We start from the raw sequence: 20,928 nt of genomic DNA on the forward strand, positions 1-20,928 counted from the left end.
TTTGTGAGGAACTGTTTCTTTAACTTTCTTATCAAGTTTTAGTGTTAATTTTATTTTTCAAAGATGTTTTATGTAGAGAAAAAGGAAACATAAAATCCAAGTGTTCCAACCGTGTAAGTAAATGAGATGACTAAATCCAGAAAACTGAAGCACTAAAATAATTCAAGAACAAAATTAAAAAGCAAAATAAAAGACTCACTTGAAAAACTTTACAGTTACCTCTCTTAGCTAAGAAAAAGAAGGGTGAAAGAAAATTGGCTAAGCAATTATATGAATTTTAAAATAATACATGTAGTGAAAAGGCAAGCTCAGAATTCCCTGGTTTGAGGAAGTTTATTTCTAGGGTAGGTCAAGTTTATTTCTAGGGTAGCAAATGGTGACACCTGAAAGCACTGCAGAGTTAACTGTGCAGGAATTAAGCAGCTCTACACCTTTGAAGCTCTCAGAGGTTATATGGAACAAGGGTACCAGCAAAGCAGGAAGTACCAATGCAATTAAAACTCCATGAAGTGGCTGAAGGTTAGATGGACTAAAATATATCTCACACTAAATTGTGTTCACATTAATTATATAAATTATGTTTATATAATTTATATTATTTAATTATATAAATTATATACATATATACATTATATATATTTATATATTATATAAACACATTAATTATATAAATAATGACAGCTTATTTTTATTTTGAGTTTTGAAACACCTCACTTTACTTGATCTTTTCATACCTACCCTGAAAGATGATCTTTATTATACTTTTTTTATTTGATAGAAGGGATGCTGAGGCTCAGAGCAGTTACGTGATTTCCCTGGTAAGATGGAGACATGAAGTAAGATCTTCCAAGACCAAGCTCAGACCTTCTTCTAACTGCATAAAGTTTGAGTGCAAATATTCATTTTTTTCTTTGAATAAGCACTCTTGAAAATTGCCCCTGTCCTTCCAAAGAAGGCAATTTTATTTTTCTAGCACGTTGATAGATAGTGAGAGAAAATACATATGAATTTTAATTCAGAATCTCATTTACATGTTTGATTAAGTGTGTTTTCCCAAATTAAAACATCACTTCCCTCTTTATCAGAACTATAGTTAGATATAGGTAGACTTGGTAACATTTTGTACAATGGTAGCATCTAGGTTTGAGTAAGTCCCTAGGTAGATCTTTTATCTCTTTGTATGCCCTTCTTAAAAAGGTGTTACCTTCACTTATTCCTCCCAGTGCAGTTGGAGAATGTTTGTATCAAGTTTTTGCCAGCTTCCCTGTGGAACAGACAGCAACTGCTTAACAAATGGCAGGTTTATGTAAGAGGAAATCTCCATGGTTTAACGTGCTTTTGTTTCCTGCCAGTATGTACCTTCTGTTTTTGTTCACGCATAATCATCTTGTAACCTGCACAGAAAGGCAAAGAAACCACGGCTTGAGGAAATGGATATTCAAGCAATTACTTCCATGCTGATTTTCCAATTCTTGGCCCAAAGGACTTTCCTCGAGACTGGGGACTCCAGTAGCTGGGGCTGCTGTATGCAGAAGGCTGGATATAAAATAATGCTACGAAGTCCCTGGTAAAATCAGTACATTGTGAAAAGAGCCTCATCATCATTTGAATGAGGTCTTTTCTCTAGAGAGAACCTGTTTCAGGGCACAAAAGTACTTTGTATATATCTAAATTGTTATATTTCCCTAAAGAGAGGATAATTATTTTTCTATGGGTCTCCTCTAGACTTTGAGGTTTGACAGATAGGGACTGAATCTATTCATCAAGGGCCTGCTACATGTTTTGTGTTTTCTACAGATGTGTGTTGGATAAATGGATGAGCCATTTACTGTAGAGTAGTGTTTCAAAATCAGAAGGTATGCATTTCAATGTCACAGGTTCACATGAATCAAGTCACACTCACTAAAGGATGTCATAGATTGAGTACTTTATATTCATGAGAGAAAAGAAAACCCACTTCTCCATAGTGTGGTAGGCATGGGTTTCCTTACACTGGTCCACACCTTGGAGAAAAAGATGCTCTCTACCTGACAGGGGAGCTTATTTGTGAATTCAGCAACCATGTTTTGAGCTTCAATCAGGTGAAAGTTCCATACTGGACACTAAGAGAATAGAAAAGTGAAACCAACTTAACTCTTGGAGTCAATAAGATCTAGACATGAGATTAAACATGTAGATTGCTAATATTACTTTAAGGGAGAATGAAATGAGTACCATAATGGTGGAAAAATGTAAGAGAGAAGTGTAGGACATAATGGATATTATCTTTTCATAGAGAAGTTGGAATTTTGAACCATCCGGAAATGTGGCAATGGGACTGGAAGAAAGGGAGAATTAAAAAAAAAAAAAAAAAAAAAAAAAAAAAAAAAAAACTTTACCAAGATTTGGAGAATGACAGGGTTTGGGAATTGTAAAACACAGACTAACTGAAAATTGCTTCAAAATACATAGCCAGAGGAGATTTTTGAGCACTTTCCTTTTTCCTTTTTCTTTTTCTTTCTTTTCTTTTTCTTTCTTTTTTTTTTTTGAGACAGAGTCTCACCCTGTTGCCCAGGAGGGAGTGCAATGGCACGATCTCAGCTCACTGCAACCTCCGCCTCCCGGGTTCAAGCAATTCTCCTGCTTCAGCCTCCAGAGTAGCTGGGACTACAGGTGCGCATAATCATGCCTGGCTAATTTTTTGTATCTTTAGTAGAGACAGGGTTTCACCATCTTGGCCAGGCTGGTCTTGAACTCCTGACTTCGTTATCCACCTGCCCCGGCCTCCCAAAGTGCTGGGATTACAGGCATGAGCCACTGCGCCCGGCCTGTTCAGCACTTTCTAAGGAAATACAGGAGGACTTCTCTAAACTGCATACAGGAAAAATTTCGTGAGAGATTATTCCTGAGTAAATTTGATATTTGAGATGTTTACAAGTCATAAATGCTTATTTTGCTCATTTAAAATTTCTAAATTCCTAAGGGTAGGCCAGATTTAGTGACTCACTTTCAAAGAACAGAGTATTGAAAGGGCAAATAACTTTACAGTAGAGAACCCTGGTATGAAATATCTTGGAGAATGTTAATGTCATCAGTGGCATCATGCTGATATCATGTGCCAGCTGACATGATGTGATCAGTAAGGCATTCCACCTCTGATGCTTTTTACCAAGAACTATAGCTAGAATCTAATCATGAGAAAACTTCAGATGAACCAAAAGTGGTAGATAGTCTACAAAATACCTGACTATCACTTCTCAAAACTTACAGGATCATACGAAACAAGAAAAGACTGAAGAACTATACAGAATACAGGAGACAGGATATTTAAAGTCATTGTGGTATCCTAGATGAGATCCTGAAACAGGAAAAAGACTTAGTGGAAAAACTGATGAAATATGAGTAAAGTTTAAGGTTTAGTTAATAGCAATGTAGCTGGTTTCTTAGTTTTGATAAATGTTCTAAGGTAATATAAGATGATAACATCAGGGGAGACTGACAATGTTTACACTAATATAATTTGTCAATATTTTGAAGGCTGATACGGTGTGATGTAATGATAATATCAGTAGTAGTAACAACAAGTCAAATTTCTAAAGCACTTTCACATATGCTGACTCATGGTGGGACAATGTTATAAGGCTGGCAGAACAGGGATTTTTTTAATGTCCATTTTAAAAATGAAGAGGCACCTCAGAGTTGAATTTACCCAAGATCAAAACTGAGCTCAAATCATGATCTTATTATACTGTGTTATTTTTACTTTCACAAAGTATTAGAAAAGAAAGGCCAAGGTACCTATGTGTGTATAGATGGGGAATGATGTAAGAAACACGCGGGTGGGGGATTAAAGTGTTTGAGATGACAATCAATTTCAATTGAAAGGAAAACTATTGAGGACTGAAGTCTTAAGAATAGTGGGCTGACCCTCTGTTTTTTGAAGCTTGCAGATTTGCTTTTTGTTTTTCTTTCACCCACTTCTCTTATGGATCAGTGAGTTTCCTAATAAAAATAAAGTAACCTAATTGTTATAGTTTTCTAAGTCTGCAAAATTATTGCTCTTTGGAGTCCCTGAGCCACATTTCCTATTCGTTTGCTTCCTCTGGCCCCATCATCACACATTTCTAAAGCTGACTCATAGGTCATGTGCATAAGAAATTTGTTACAACGATTCTGCTTGTACTTTGGCGTGATATTTTTTCTTACTTAATTTTCCTTGTCGTGATTACAATAGATGCAACCAATAGCTTTTAATAGGTGGCACATACTCATAACATGGTTTGCTCATGGTTTAGAAACACCAATAATTTAAAGTATGAATTCTGTAAATCTGCAACCACCCCCTCCCCCATTTTCAATCTCATTCATTTTCTAGCAGCATAAATCAGAAAGCAAAACCTTTGTTGCTTTAAAGATCCTGCTTTGCCTTTTTAAAATGTGTTCTTAAAGATGAAATAATTATGCTGCTTTCCTGGATCAAGATTTCAAAGGAAGAACCTCCTGCGGATACTTATGTACACTTACATACGAAAATGGATGTTTAAATGCAGGTAGATGAGTATTTGTCCTAAAATGTGATCTTCCTTGTTGATGCTGGAGCTTGAGGAGCTATCCCTATGCTCTGCTGCCACCTTGGAAACTCAGAAGGATTTACAACGGAGTTCTGCACAGGGGAAGCTGGAAGCAGCATTCCCACAGCCTCTTCTGGGGCTGGCAAGGCTCAGAGAGGCATTTGAAATGGCTATTATTGACACCCATAGACTTGGGTATGTTTCAGAGAGAAACTATAACATCTATCTCATGGGAAAACACACTTTCTCTGTTTTTAAATAACTCCGTTTCAGCAAGATCCATGTGTGTAGCCTCTGAATACTCTATAAAGGCTCCGTATTTCTTTCTTTCTTTCCTTAGTCCGGAATGGAGACAGAAGAAAGATTCGGTTGAAGATGTCCCTGTGTGGATCTCAGTTTGCGCTCTGAGCGACGTCCTGGCTCATTTGGGTGTGACGGTGAGAGCAGAGGCGCTCTGCTGACAGTTTTTTCTTGTCTAAGCTTCCATTCCGCATCCACAATATGACTCGCCTTCCACTCCAGTTAACTTCTTGGAAGTCCAGAGCACTTAGTCAAAGCTGTTTACAAAATGCAAAGCATCTGGGCGGCCAAGGCAGAGGCTCCTGTGTTCTCTATGTAACCGCCTCCAAAAAAGCTGGGAAATTTCGCGGATCAAAATGTAGGCGCTTAAAGCTGACCCTCTGCTGTCAATGTTGGGACTTAGATACATTTTTTGCATCGTCATTCTTGTGTGTGTTTCCCGTTTATTCCATTCTAAGGCTCAGGCTCGCGCTGTTTCTCTCGCGCGCGCTGTCCCCTCTCTCCATTTCCCATTCACACATCAAACTCCGTCCTCCGCACCCCTATCTTCCCGTGTCTTCTTAGTTATGTGAATGTGTGTCATTAGGCTTACTCGGACACTGGATGGGTGAGTGGGAGGCAGCTTTTCTTGCGGTTTCATTTACACTTGGCATGGGTGGGTGGGTGCCCTCCACAATTCGTCTCGCACACGGAACACAGTTAAAATCTGTAGCTAGAACGAGTGAAAAGTTCCGAATCTTTAAAGCGCAGCTAGGACAGGAAATAATACAGGGTTGGGGGATGTGGACGGGGGCGGAGAGCAGAGAAGTAAAGGAATAAAACCAACTTCGCTGGCAACTTCAATAAATCCGGTAACTGGAGGCAAAAAATAGACTCCGAGGGCTGGGTCTGGTCCGGATGAAACGCTAGGGCTCCTTCCCTTCCTTGAATCTTGGGCGCTGGAAGCCAGCCACGGGCGTCTTGCCACGCGAGTGCCCCTAGACAGCAACACACCCACTGGAAACGCACGTGAACAAAGCTCTCGCCCCCGGGAGCCGCTGCCTGCGGTTTCCTAGTCGATCCCAGCTTCTCTAGGGAGTGTCAGGCGCACACAGGGTTAAGTTAGTTCCCTCCCTGGTAGGAGGGAGAGGAGGAGGAGGGGAAAAGCAGCATACTGTCTCAGGCTGGGTACCTTGTAGTTAGTTGTACGTTCGAAACCTGTCGCCGTCACTTGCGCGTTTGGCATTATCCATTGTCACCGCGGAGGAACGAGCGCTCGAGATATCATCAGTGCCCGCAAATCTCCGCGCCAAGGCGCTGAGCTACTCCTTTCCGAGGTGCGCCTCTGGTCCTCCGTCCCTGGTGCCCAGCAGCGGCGAGGCGGCATCTCCGCTCCCGCCGCCGTGTCCACCGAGCCCTGGGATCAGGGTGGCAGTTCTCAACGATGGGCAGGAGGGACCTCGGCGGCGACCCCTAAAACAATACCATGCCCCGGGATCCCCGCTGCTGCCGCGCCAGCGTCTTCCCTTTCCACCTCCCTGACCCTGTCGGATTCGGATGAGCCCATTGCAAGGAGAAGACGCAGCCGTCAGGTAAAAGGGGCTGCGTTGCCAGGTGAAGTTTCCAGTAACCGGCCGAGCTGCTGCTACGCTGGCACCACGCTGTCTCTTCGGGGGATTTTTTTTTTTTGAAAGAGCTGGGGGTGGTCATCTTAAGTGGGGTGCTCTAGGCTTTGTCTTTCACCTGGAGAGAAAATAGGCAGCTTAGCTCTCTCTCGACTTTGGGGACATCTGTCTGCTGGTCGAATCCACCTCCTCTACGGAGCATCATGACTGAGTTCTGGGTCAAAACGCAAATTTTCTTGCCTGGTAGATGCATCGATGCTAAATTGGGGTTCTCAGTGCCCCTAACCTTGTCAGAGTTCAGTCTCCTACTTCCCTAGATTGAATCTCTTAACTTTCACCAGTAACAACCCTCTCCCCTCCACAAGCTGTTGTTAATGTCACCAGCGTTATTATCAGGCTGTTGTATCTAAAGACACCAACCTACTACCTGCCCGTAATCTGGGATCTATTAGCAGTTAAACAGATGCGGTGGATACTAATTCCTTTTCCTTCCAGTTGGTGGGGGCGGGTGGGGCTTTTTCCAAAACCAAGTCCCTTCCAGCCCTGCTTGTCCTCTTCGGGCTGGCGGGCACTGAGCTGGGGCCATCACGCCTTTCTAGAGCGCCTGCGGAGGTGGCGAAGGCTTGGAGAGCATACGAGGCGGAATCCGGATCGAGTGAGTTCCTTGAGCCGCTTGCGTGGGACGCAGGGAGAGGGCGAATAACGCCCTCAGGCGCTGAATGCAGGGGCAAGGAGCCAGCGAGGGTGGCTGGAGCAGGCCTTGCCAGCTGTTACCAAGTCTCTCCACAGGCTTGGGGGCTTGGGGCCTCCTGGAAAGATCCCTCCGCCGCGCTGACCAGTACGGGGCTCGCTCCCGCACTTTGAAGGCTGCCGCGGTCTTTCGTCATTTATAATCAAGCCCAAGATCAAGGTTGCAAGCTGAGGTCGGGGTACTGACAACGGGAATGAAGCCATAGGGGAAGAGGATAACTGGGACGGGCTGGACCCATACTTGATACCCGGGAAACTCCTAGAGCGTGTGGTGCTCCTGCCAGCGGCAGTTACTGGTGGAGCTGAGGCCACCGCTACTGTCGTCGTTGGCGCTTTGCTTCTGGAACCTCCCAGCAAGATGGCACTCACTGTCTGTTCCCTTCCGATTAGCACCCCCAGCCGCGCTCCCTCCTCCCCGGGATACGTATTAGTCACATACTGTGGGGAGAAGATGGGCTATGTAAATGTAAGTCAACGCGCTTTCCCAGCCACCTTTGCATAATGCAACAGGAACAGCGACCCGCGCGCACGAACCGGGTAGTGTGCGCGTGTGTGTGCTCGCGTGTGTGAGCGCGTGTGCCAGCGTGCGTCTCCGCGCGGGCGTGCGTCTGGGTGGATCCTTGCGTGGCTTGGGAGGCAAATCGGGCGTTTCTCCAAGTCGTCTTAACATGATTTAGGCTCTCAAATACGTGAAAGCGGTAGACACAACAGGGATGCGAAGGAAATAAAAAACAATTGGGGAAGTGGTGCCAAGTCACTCAGGCTTTGAACTGAGGACGAGTAGTGCGGTCGCGCCTGGGGCGCGTCCGGAAATCATCCTCAGCCTGTGGCGGCCACTGCCCCACTTAAACTCTTCTGCGGGGAGAGTTGAGCGGATCCCTGGGGGGTTGGTCCTGGGCTAGTTTTAAACTCTCCGGTTGCATCTCGCGTGGCCCCACCGACGGCGCGTCTCGGCGTAGCTCTTGGCGCGGGCTCGTTCTCCCTCTTCTGTTCAGATTCAGCCTCACCGGACTTGTTACAACATGACAGCAACTTACTGGAGGCAGGAAGAGCAGCACGAAATAAGATGAGAAAACCAAAAACATCTCCTCCTTCCTAAATAGAGACGTGCACCTAGCTTTTTTTACTTGTTTGTTTGTTTTTTACATTACCCTTTAACCTTTGGAAAGAGACTGCGAAGTGGAAACGTTGCCTGTACAGAAATCAGGCTTCTTAGCTGTCAAGACTGTTTCCTAATCTTTAGGCTGAATCTTTCTTTGTCCGCTGCAATCTATGGGGAAATTTAACAACGCTCTTGCCAGAAGCAGCCAGGTTGAAGGAAGAAAGTGGGGGTGTTTAAATTAATCCTATTAAATTTTGGATTACTCCCCCAGTTAAAGTCATTTAAGGTGGTCCAGGATGAGGGAACTAGTGATGGGGTGAGGAGTGGGGGGCACATCACCAAGGTTGCCTGCATTTGAAATAACGCCATTTTGGTTGAGAGGTTTGCTGTATTTTACCCTCTAATCTCACATTTCGATCATTTCTCAGTGTCTAAGTAATAGATCCTCCCTCTTGGCAGTACACCATTAAGCAGGTATGGGGAATTCTCCTTTCAGGGTTCAGATGGTGACATTATCCCTAAGGACTGGTGGTAGGAACGGCATGTGCCGGGTAGATAGAGAGAAGGTCAGGGTGGCATCTGCCGGGTTAGCCAGGCGCTCTTCAACTCTTTTCAGAGAGGACAGGGTTAAAAGCCAAGTCTGACTTTGCCTCTTGGAAATCACTGGGTAGCAGCCGCGCCTCCCAAGCATTCTTTAAACCAGAAAAGTAGGAGGGACTCCGGGAGAGAGGGAGGGAATGAGGGAGGGAGAGAAAGAGGGCTCCAGGAGCGGAGCGCGCCAGAGCGCGAGGGACGGAGGGAGAGGAGGAGCGCGGGAGCTGCGGAGGCGATCCCGCGAATTCATTACTGTAAACATATCCGGGGGTGTCAGGAGGGGTAGGGGTGGGGGCCGCGGCGCCTACATTAGCCCGGCCGCGTCGGATTGAGGCAGTAGTGTGGTCTGAGCAGCCTCCAGACCCACGCCGGGCGGGCGCAGCACTTGGAGCGAGCCCTGCGCCCGCCCCCGCGCAGCGCCGCACGCCCGGCTCCGAGCTGTCCGCACACACGCGTCGGAGGAGAGCCCGCCTAGCTCTCCCGCCGAGTCCCGGGATCCTCCAAATCCGAGGAGCTCCGGCGCCGCGGGGCAGCTTTCTGCCGCCTTCCCCGCTCGCTGTACTTCTTTTGGGGTTCGTTGGCTTGGCGAAGCGGAGAGGGGGAGGCGGAGGAGGAGAGAAGGCGGGGGTCGCGGCGGCCGAAGCCAAGAGAAAGTGGCATGCCCGAACCCTGGAGGCGGTGGTGGCGGAGGACGGGGGAAGACGATGCCGCAGCTCCGTAGGGGACGTAGGCGAGAGCAAGCGAGGCGAGCTGGGCGCCCCGGCCCCGGCCCGCTGCGGGGAGGCGCGCGCCGCTCTGAGGCTCCGGCCTCCGCACCCCCGCGCCCCGACGCTGCGGGCGACAGGGCTTGGCTCCAGCAGCCGCCGCCGTCGCCGCCGCCGCCACCCGGAGGACCCAGCAAAAGTTTGGATCTGGGGGAGGGCGCGGCGCTGAGCGGGATTACCACCAGGGCTGGAAGGAGACCTCGAGAACCTTTGCAGGTAACGCGCGCCCCCAACCCTCTTCTTCCATGCCCCGCCGCTGCGCTCCCGCTTCCTCCCAGAGCCCTTCCTGGCCCTCGCGGGTCTGGCAGAAAGTAAGAGGGAGGCGAAGTTCAAGATCCCGGGGATGAGCACCGAGCGCTGGCAGATCACTAGTCACGTTAGAGGGGCAGCTGTGCTGAGAGGCAAATTCCCCCAGGAGTGGGTGAGAACCCTCAGCCCCAGCTGGTGCCTCATCTTGTAGCTCTTTGGAAATTTGGAACGTGAATCCAGGGGCTTTTAGTATTCTTCAGTCCAGAGAAATGGTTCATGGATTTCACTTACCGCACGCTCCCCCCTTCACACTCTCACCCGTTTAGCATTTTTAAAAAATGATTTGAGCCCACTCCCTACTCTCCTGCTTCGTTTAGCTGGACAGCAAATTTCAGGGGTGAAATATTGCAAGCAAAGAGGAAAAAATATCCTTTCCCCTTTTGACATCCCTGGAATCCTCCTTCCCTCCCTTCACCTTCTGGCATCATAAAATAGGAACTTTAGAAGTTACATTTTCAGGGGTGAGGTGAAACGTGTTAGCTATTGGTGATGTGAATTTGCCACGACTGTCCGTATGTGTGTCTGTGTGTGTGCGTGTGTTTGGGGGAGGGGGTTAGTGGTGTTGCAGAGAGGCGGAATTTTTCTCGGTGGCCTGATGCGCAGTGGTCCTAAGGTAGTGAGTGGCCGCGTGTGCGCATTGAGGCGGCGGCAGCGGAGAGAAGACGGTCACGTTTCCCGAACGGCAGCCTTACTTAGGCTAAGAAAATAGCTGCAGCTCACTCCAAAAGCAAAAAGATTCCAGCCCCAACTCCCCGACGCCCCCTTTCCCCCAACTGAGTTTTTAGTTTCAAAGCAGCTCAGCGTTTGCTGCTATCTTTATTATGATCATTATTTATTCGCCTGGAAACTCATCCTGTCTTCTCCTGTGAATGGGAATCAGTCTTCAAGAGCTTTTGATTAATTTTAGTAAGAGAATCTCTTGTAAAGCTTACAGTTAGCTAACCAAGTGTAAGGCACAAATCCGTGTAAACGCTCGCTCAAGAGTGCAAGGTGCTGATTAGATTTCTTTACATGCTGCATTTGCTATGCAAAGCCTCTTCTAAATGGGAGCTATTGCTCCCCACTCAGCTGGGAGGCTCTTTAATCACACAGGGTTTCAGGGCGCTTTGGAGCATGTCCACTCGCTCACAGACTTATTGCTAAATTTATTATGTCTAATTTCTCACAACCAAAAGCTAATCTGAAGGCTAGCTTCCATATCGGACCGATATTATCTGTAGACTTAACCGGTATGACCTTAATAAATATCCAATGAAAAGCCCCCCCCCAAAAAAAAAAAACAACAACATTTTGAGGTAAATAGAATGCAGATTGGCATTTGTCCAGGGATATATTAGGTTGTTCAGTGTGAATGTAAAATTTTAGGTCCGTATTTGAAGTGTTAGAACTAGATTCTCACTTGTTTTCATTACTGAACAACATGGGCCAGCTACTTATGACGGGCAAGCCACCAGCCACCATATTAGCAGAGAATCAATCTGTAGGTAATACGCATACCATGAAAAGTTACTTCTTTCTCCACAGCGTTATTGCGTCTGAGAATACTACTTCTCTTCCTCCCCTCCTTGAAAGCCCGAAACAGGATAGGGTTAAACCATTTAGGGATTTTTTAATAATCACTGAAGACAGTGCAACACCATACTGTCATGTTGAGTTGCAAATATCTTTGACTGGAGGAGGTTGGAAGATGAAATTTCAAACATTATTCCATGTCTCTGCCAGTAGAGATACAAGAAATTGTAAAAAGAATTGGGCTAGCTGTACTGTAGCAGAACCTATTACAAACCTAGCATGGAAGGAATGCTGTTTTTTTTTTTTTTTTTTTTTTTTTTTTTGTTGTTGTTGTTGTTGTTGTTGTTTTAAAGCCCATGTCTTAACACTTCAGTAGTTTCATTGCAGTTTTAGAAATTCCAGGGGATGCTTTTAGCAGAAGAAAGTAGATTCCCAAATGACACCATGCTGGGCTACCCTGGAGTCCCCAAAGCAGTCCTGGCTTTTCCTGTATGTTAGGTTTCAGATGATGTGATCATATACGAGTTTGACTTTGACCGGCTGGATCTAATTTGAACCTTCTCTGATGCCCGTTACATTTATATTCTGGCCTGCTGGAGAGTTTGATTTAGGATTTAGACAACTTTATATTTTCCCAGTTTGAAGCTGTGGTTTTAAGAAAGGCTCAAGTATGTACAAGTCCAGAAGCTTTATTCTGTAGAGACCCAGTGTGAACATCTGATCTAGTTTGACTCTTGAGCTTTGTACTTTACAAGGAAGAATTCCTGCTTCTGGGATCTGAAGCGTCTGAAGTTAAAAAACAGCAAGGGTGCCGAGCGGCTTTTGGTTTTGCTCTCTGTTTAGAAGATTCAAAAAAGGTCAAGGTGATGTAATATTTGTATTCAGGTCAGACTTTTCTGGATAATCATCTTTTGATATCTTTAATTTCAATTCGAGTTCCTTTTTCACTAGATTACTTTAATAACTTTGTGATTTCTGCTACAGTGATTCAAATTCAGTCCATTAGTGACCTCTATCTGTGAGAAGTGAATACTCATGGTTTTTTTTTTTTTTCCTTCTCATCAAAGTCTGAAGATGACGTCAGGGTGCTGGGGGTGAATCCCAACAGTTCTGTAGTTCTTTCTGGATATTTCAGTTTACCTAATTTGATTTTTCTAATACAGAGTTCAATATGGATAATGACATTTAATTACAGTAATAAAAATGTTATGGACTAATAGAGAGGCAACTAAATGGTTATTCCATATAGCATTGACAGTGTGATCAACATAAATAAAACACCAGAGCTATCCACTGCCAATGAAGGGATTGTACAGTCAGGCTGACTATTGTTTTGGGACTCACAATGCTGCTGAATGTAAGTGAAATTTTATTGCTCCTAAGTGCTTACATAACAAGGGAAACTTGAGACGAGCTCAAAATATGTATGTGGTAACTAGACTTCATGGTAGCTGTGTGTATATGTCTTTAAATTCTGCTGTGCTTCTACTGTGAACTTATGGTACAGATCAAAGAGTGTGAGAAGAGTATTTATAAACAGATGGTCCTTTTAAGGAGACTTTAAAAATCTGATTCCTAATCCAGGTTTGTCTTGTGAGGGTTTTCAGATAGAAATTTCAATTTTAGCCGATTATTTCAAATGCTAATTGAAGACAAAGTTTACTGAATTTCTTAGGTGGGTGGATACCATTATCTGACATTTTCCAGATGGTTTTTGATCTAGTGGTATTTGGGGATATGGAATTTTTAGGAGGTTTTCTTTCTTTTCCCTTGGGCAATTTTTACACAAAAGACTTTTTTAAGACTAGCTATTATTATTATTAAAGTTAAACAACCATTATCTTACTTCAGACAACTTTCTTACTTTTTCTACTCTCCAAATTGCTTTTGTGCAATTATATCTTTCTTCTAAAACTACATGTCGCGAATTGACGTATCAGTATACTTTTACTCCTTTCAGTAATAAAGGACCTCCAATTACGTATCTGTTTATAGTAAAACACACACACACACACACACAACACACACATACATCAAGAACCATTTTAAGACAGAGATTCTTTTCAAGGTTTGAACTATGTTCCTTTTTTAAAGGCTATGACACAAATATTGTAATAAAAATATCCTGTGTTCTGATGAATACAGAGACTTATTTCATTCTCATGGAACAGTAAAACACTGTACTAGTAAAATAATCAGTGGTATTTTGAGTACATGGTCAAAATCTGTTAGAACCTTCATGTTTTGTTTTTTTTTTTTCTTCCTTAGCGAATTTCACATCTACTGGTGTTTTTGGTTTTCTTTGATTCCTTCTACTGTGGCTCTTTGAAGTGATTCAAAATTAAACAGTAGCTACTTTTTCAGGGAAATTCATCATGTTGTGTTCAGGATTCCAGAAGAGTTAATGATGCAGAAAAAGTTCTGTAAAACATCTTTCTAAAAGAAGTCCTTCTCTTGCAAGCCTCCCACTTACTGGCCTCCTGTACCATTTGCAGTGAATTGGAACTCCGTTATTTATTTATTTTTCAAATACCACCTCTAACTTAATTTAATGTAGGATGTGTTCCTGCAAAAGTGTGCAGTGCCATGTGCCTTGAGTCACCCAAACAAAGCAGTGTCATTGTTACATCCGGATCTGTTAATCAGGGAAGGTCAAAGAAAATATTCTTATATAATTTGGAAAGTCAAAAGGACACGTTGATGATTCTCAAACACTGGTCAGTTATTCTGCTGATACTTACTAAGGACATACTTTTTCTGGCAGTTTAATGGTTAAAGACCTCAGCCATTTTTGAAGCATTCACAAAGTAACTCTCTGGAGCTACTAACCATTAGATGCTCATTAGAACTGAGCAGTTTTTCCCCCCACTTTGTTCCCAGGTTACTTTTAAGGGAATGTGCAAGAAACTTGGAAAAAGGTCTTCTGTTCCCTTCAGTTCACATGTCATACTGTTATATTTCAGTTCTCTTTATTAGAGCTTTCAAGACACAGATAAAAGAATCTTCCATCTGAACCCCTTAAGAACCTGAGGGCTTTTGGATTTCAACCCACTGAAAAAATATCAGGTCCCAAAGTTTATAGATGATATTAGGCCTCAGAACAATTGAAACCACCTTCAGCAGGGAGCAAAAGAACAGTGGCTCCTAAAATTGGTTCACAAATATACTGTCCATTGAAGTCAACAGAGGTCATATGGCTGAATGGAAAACATTAGACGCATATCAGTCCTGAAATAGGTTCACATGCTGGTGTCACTCTTAGCCCCAGCTGCCTCTACATGTCACGTTCATCAGAATCTAGCATCTAAACAGCCTCTGTAATGATTTCCTCTCCCACTTTGCTCCCAAAATTGGACTCAAGTACTTAGACAAAGGAAATAATGCAAGGAATTATAATATTCATCATATCTAATAGACAAAGTGGAGGTAAGAGGTTTGTTTGCGTGCATAGGGGCCATAGAGGTTCCAGGAATCTCTTTTTAAGATTGATTTTGAGAGCACATTCGTATCCACCCTCATCACTCCGGGCCCTTACATTTTCCAGTTCTCACATCCAGGATTTCATTTATTTCTCACAACTGCCTCTGAATTTATACAGGAAAGTCCTACCTGCCTCACTTCTGATTGGGTAACTGGAGCCAGAAAGAAGTTAAGGGCTACTAAGGCTGGGCATTTTACATTTTATCATACAGATGTAGAATTCTGCAGATAGAATTGAGAAGTTCCATTCTTTATGAAACCACCCAAAATGATGAGAGTTGTTTGTTTTCGTTGGAACAGTAAAAAAAAATCACAAGCCTAGAAATATTTTGATTTAAAATAATAGCATTTCACTCTTCAGCATTAGATTAGATGACAAGTTTACCTGTTCTGAATGAGTATAATCCTATGATGTACGTATTTGGCACTTTGTGGTGGGGAGTGAGAAATAAATGAGATTGCTTTGGGGGAAGGAAAAGAAAACCTACATTCTCATGTCAGCATGCTTCTTTCTATATTCAGCCTTGTATGAATTACTTAATCTCCTGGAGACTTAATTTCCTCTCTACAGAGTTCAACAGAGTTGTTGAGAGGTCACATAAGATTAATGTGTGTGAAAATACCTTGATAACAATACAGTGTTATATTCCTATAAAGAGGCATTATTCAAATTGATAACATTTATCACTGCATGCCTGTCTTGTGCTATGATAGACTAGGTTTTATATAAATAAAATGGTAACCAAGACAGAGTCCTGCCTTTCAGGAGCTTTCGCTCTTACGGCCTCAAGAGATATCATCTAACCAATACACTGGCTGCTAGCCCCTGCATCATTTCTTCCATTCAGTTAATAATGGATTATCTCCTTTTCTGAGTTTGCGCTATTTTGATGAAAGTATCCATTTTAAGGATAAATGATAATTAGGGTGAGTTGAGTTCAAGGGTCAAACTTTTCTTTTGATTTTGGAAAGAGAATTTTGAGGATTTTTTTTGGAAAAATAAATCATCAATGTTTTCTGAAATGAGGTCGTTTCTCTTTTTGACTGGATTTACAGTTTAACTATCCAGGTTACCTTTTGCAAACACACACCAATAGAAATACAATGATTTTTTAAAATTTTGTTTTGCAAAATAAGGCAGGCTAGTGCAAAAGGGACATTTTGTAGTTTGGCAAACCTCCTCAACCCATTAACAGTGAATAGAAAGACAATTTATTATGAAGCCAACGTGTATTCCAAAGCTTGGCTTTATTTTGATGTTAGTGTCATTAAACCCTGTGGAACAGTTCTTTACAGTGTATTTCTGCATGTTTTGTTCAGTTCTGTTTTTACTATTGTCAAATCTGAGACTCTTAATTTTAAAGGTTCCAAGAGTGAGCATGTTTATTTCTCTTTGCTAAATTGTTTACATTTAGACCTTTGTAAAGGTTAATTCTTAATTGTTTTTCTGTTGCATAGTTGAAGGCTTCAGAAAACAAATGCCTTGGTGAAATCTATATTTATAAAATACGTGGTTGGATCCCGATTCTTGGCCAAAATGAGTATTTCTTTCGGTGATTTGAGGTATGAAGTCTGTATCCAACAACATTCTTTTCAATCTATGATTTGCTATTGTCGGAGTTCTGACACTTGCTTTTTTAATGTTTTTTTTTTAAAGTTGATTAGTACTTTAGCAGTACATTGTAAAGTATGTGGCCACAGAACTGTATTTTAACATGGAAAATTACTTGCATAGTTCGGCAAAATTAATCTGAATACCTTTTGTACTGGCAGTGTTGAATGATATAATATTTGAAGAGAGAAAATATTTGCTACTACTTTAAAGAGGTCTACTAATAAAATGAGAATCATCTGTAGGTATATATGTGGGGAGTTAGTACGTGTTTATATCTCTGAAATGCACCAACAAATATAAGTCTTATGTACTATGGGGAGGAAGTATGGTTATAGCCTGAAGCTAGGTAGTGCCAGTTTAGCACATATGTCCTTAATATGATAAAAATAGTGATGTAACCCAAATAGTTTTTAATTGGTGATTTTCTTTTTCCAAATAGGTCTTAGGGAAACTGTAAATGAAGAAAAGTACAAAATGCAATCAGAAAATATATTTAAGTCTGACTGGCCTGATCTTCATGAAGGAGATATTCTTATGGAGGTTTCACCAAATGAAGAAAGCTTGCTCATTCATTCAGGAGATGATTTTTAGCACTATCCATGAACTGGGCATAGAGTAAGATGGGACAGGCCAAAAGTAGGTAAGGCATGATCCCTCCACTTGAGGCCAGCTAGGCTAGTGAGCAGAGAGGTAGACACAAAACCTAATTGCATTGCAGTTTTATACAAGATTGAAGGGAGTGCAGTCAACACTAAGTATGCCAGAAACTCATAGTGTTAGTGAAAAGAGCTCTTCATTTGGAGATGGACAGTCTTACTCTTTGTCTCCTTAAGTAGAAAATGGAGGAAAATGGAGGAGTAGCTCTTTCTACTCCTAGAGCTATTAATTTTAGGATTGAGATAATTCTTTAAAATGTCTACCTGTTCTGGCACATAGGAGAGGCCTAATGAATGCCGACTGTAGGTCCTTCTGTCTCCAAAATGATAATGATTTCATTGTCTTACCATTACCTTCTACTGACTTGTCTCAGTTTGGGGAATGAACTGGGTCCTAACTTGGACTTTATTTGTTCATTGAAAGCATAGCCTTTGTGGCAATTAATGGGTTTATACCCACCCCCATGCCTTCTACCTCACAGCCATGTGTCCTTCTGCCGATGACACCAGTGCCTGCAGCTTCCAAGGAGTTCCATGTCTAGACTATGACACTGAGCTCAGTGAGCCATGGTTATGTCCTTGCCAAAGTACAAAGATTTTTATCAAAATGAATTTTAACAACTTTCCTCACACAATTCACTTTATACATGACTCTTGGCAGAGTCATGAAAATATTTTATTGTAGAAGATTAGCATGTAAATTATCGTTATGCTTGCTTAAGGCTTATTCTATCCTTATAGAATGATTATACCTTGCTGTGTACATTGGAATCAGAATGATACTCTTGGGCTATGAGTTCATTGTGGAACTATTTCTTTCAGAAGATAATTTTCAATTAAGTAAAGGAACTTCTTACTGTTTCTACTGCAGATACTTCTGAACAAATAGCAGTGTTCAGATGTCCTGGTAAAAATACATGGTACTGGGGTTATTTTTCATTTATCATTATAATTGCATGTATGTATAGTATAATTTCTGTGTTCCATTCAACATTTGAGATTTGCCCCTGTTTTTTTCAACACTGTGAATCCGTAAATTTATTGATGTAGGAAAGCTATATTTAACAAGATGTTAGGCATGCCCCAGACCTCCAAGCTAGGAAACACATAGGCTTTTTCTGTTAAGATCACATAATATATAATGTAATATATACATATAATTAATCAAATTGGACCTGAGAGAAGCAGGCACTAGAGTGTATTTTGTAAGCTGTTAACATCTTAGTAAGTAGCTTCTGAACCAACATTCAACCCAGCATAAAACAAAAAGACCTTGTTTTGCTACTTTAGGAAATGTAAGAGAGATTAAAATTCTTTGGGAAATGGTTTTAAAAAGTAGTTTTGTACTCAGATAGGTAAAGAACAAGTCCAGTGGTGCTGACAGCAATGGAATTTAAAACTTGATTCTAATAATCTCTGAGTCCCGAAGGAATGCCACGCAGACATCCGTTTGAGTCACGAGCTTGTAACTGAGGATTTGACAAAGATTGAGTCCTCACTGTGTGCCAGGCACCATGCTAAATTTTGTGCTAGGCACTTGGGATACTCTTTCAGACAAGACTTTGTCCCTGCTCACAGAGAAATCTGATAGGTTGGCCTATAGTCACTCTTTTCTAAACTTGACCTATCTACCTGAATTAACCGAAGGAGCTGGTTAGAAATACAGATTCCTGGGCCAAGAAGAAGAACCTAAAGTCCAACTTCCTGTAACCATCAACACATTTAACCCTGTAAGTTTAGAGTTTATTGTAACCTTCTCATGCCCTTTGCTATACTCAGTGTGCAAATCATGAAGACTAAGGTGGATCCTGTTTTGGTGGAGATTCTGATGTGTTAAGTCTGTGATGAAACCTGGGAATGTGAGTTCTTGAAAGCTCCCATTATTGGAAATCACTGAGCTAGATAGTTTTTAGAATTTTTTTTCTGACCGGAGAATCAGTGCTTTTTATAGTTGTCTGACTTGTAGTCACTTGTGACTTTCTGAAAGTTTTTCTGTGTATTTTGCCACATAGAAAATATTGCTCAATTTAACTCCATCTGCTAGAAAAGTACCTTCAGAGAGGCTAGATATCAGGGCTGGCTTCTCTCTTGGTAGCGGCAGTCTCCTGTCTGTTCTCCCCACCATCAGTGTCCCCTAAACCATTGTACTGTTTTTGGTGTCCCCAGAATTAATTTTCTAAAAAAAAAAAATAAAGAAATCACATCATATTCCTTTAGAAACCTATATCTTTGGATAAAGCCCATCAAAACTTGTTATCATGCCACGCAAGATCCGTGACAATCTAGATCTCAAACCACTCCTCAGACCTCATTGTTCAGCACCCATCCCCTGTACCCTCATGCCAAACATGGTGAGGCATGGCCCTCTTGATACTTTGCCTTTCCCATGCTGTTTACCATTTACCTAGAACATTATCGCATACTCTCCATTTGGCAAACTCTTCCTTTAAGAGGCACGTGGATGACACTTTCCCTCCTGGTTACTCCTTTCTCTGGGCTTCTACAGAGTTTTGTTTGAACTTTGATTGGTTCTCTGTTTATATTGTATTATAAAATGTGTCTGCTTACATGTCTATCTCGCTCATTAGACTTTAGGAACTTTGGCCCATTCATTTCATCTCTGTGGTGCTAACAGAGTTGCCCAGTGTACCGCATTCTGCAAAAATGTAATTGAGTTAGTAAATGGAATAGCACTGACCAGACCTGGAACACAAGAAGATCTTCATAATCCAGTGAGAAGGACTGCTTCCTCAGAAGTATTTTTTTATTCCCATAGATTGATTACCCAGTGGAGGGGGAAGTACAACCACCACCTTTCTGCCTTACTCTGAGCAGGTTTGTCAGACAAATATTGGCTGGTAAACCCAACCTTGATCAGCAGCAAGCTTTCCAAACCACACATGAGGCAATTCATATGCCACACTGGATAGGTCTGTTTAAAGAATAATAATTTCGCTTGATGATACACCTTTCTTGGCACTGAGTAAAACTATCGGTTACGTAGATGTTCACACAGATGTGGTTTTCCACAGAATGAGAAATTTAACTCAGCATTAACTTTGTGTATCTGTCTTGGCATAATTAACAAGAGCAAAGCAAAGGTCTTGTGAAATTTTGTGCATTTGCTCTCTTCTTTATTTTTTGCTTGTTATTATTTTGTTTATTTCATCCTAGGCCCATTATTTCCTGATAGAGGCCTCTGAGGACCCAGGGCTCTCCAGAGAAGGGAAAAGAAGGCTAGAAATCACAACGCCTTAATTTGGCTCCACAAAATAGGATCCATCTTTAGTCTTCATGATTTGCACATTGAGTACAGCACAAAGCTTGGGAAGGTTACAATAAATCTAAATTTATATGGTTTAATGTGTTGATGGTTACAGGAAGTTGGACTTTAGGTTCTTCTTGTTGGCCAAAAGAAAATTCAAACAATACTTTGTTAAGTTTCGCGGTAGATTGCCATTTGATGGACAAAGTTGACTTGCATGCAAGTGGTGTATTTGCAAACACACATTAAACACACTTCAATCCCTTCCTCCCCTTTTTTCAGCAAAACTTTTCAGTGGCTGAAAAGAGTAGAAGAGGATAGAGCACAGTTTGATATGCCCCTTCCTAGCCTTTGGTTTCATCTGGGCTGTCTGCATGTTGGGAATACTTCCCAAGCCAGTGGGAAACTCGTGAAAAAACACATGAGA

At 42.2% G+C, this 20,928-nt stretch overlaps 1 protein-coding gene and 1 long non-coding RNA gene across 10 annotated transcripts in view; one reads left to right on the forward strand and one right to left on the reverse strand.

Annotated features, from left to right (window-relative positions):
- Positions 1 to 932: 932 nt before the first annotated feature.
- Positions 933 to 7,546, reverse strand: FLRT2-AS1 (FLRT2 antisense RNA 1). The gene is made up of 2 exons (NR_184170.1): positions 4,504 to 7,546; positions 933 to 1,394 (listed from the first exon to the last, which is right to left on the reverse strand). It is a non-coding gene; the product is annotated as an FLRT2 antisense RNA 1 (long non-coding RNA).
- Positions 6,031 to 20,928, forward strand: part of FLRT2 (fibronectin leucine rich transmembrane protein 2) — a 124,285-nt gene continuing 109,387 nt past the window's right edge. For 2 of the 9 annotated variants that reach the window (NR_144386.2, NM_013231.6), the window contains exon 1: positions 6,031 to 6,421. The gene's annotated coding sequence lies outside the window, so the exon portion shown is untranslated. Of the gene's footprint in view, positions 6,444 to 7,053; positions 7,671 to 9,235; positions 9,881 to 20,928 lie in introns of those variants that run through there. The other 7 variants (NR_144385.2, NM_001346143.2, NR_144387.2 and 4 more) reach the window with 6 other exon arrangements.

The sequence above is a fragment of the Homo sapiens genome, chromosome 14 (assembly GCF_000001405.40).
Source record: "Homo sapiens chromosome 14, GRCh38.p14 Primary Assembly".
Lineage (NCBI taxonomy): Eukaryota > Metazoa > Chordata > Mammalia > Primates > Hominidae > Homo > Homo sapiens.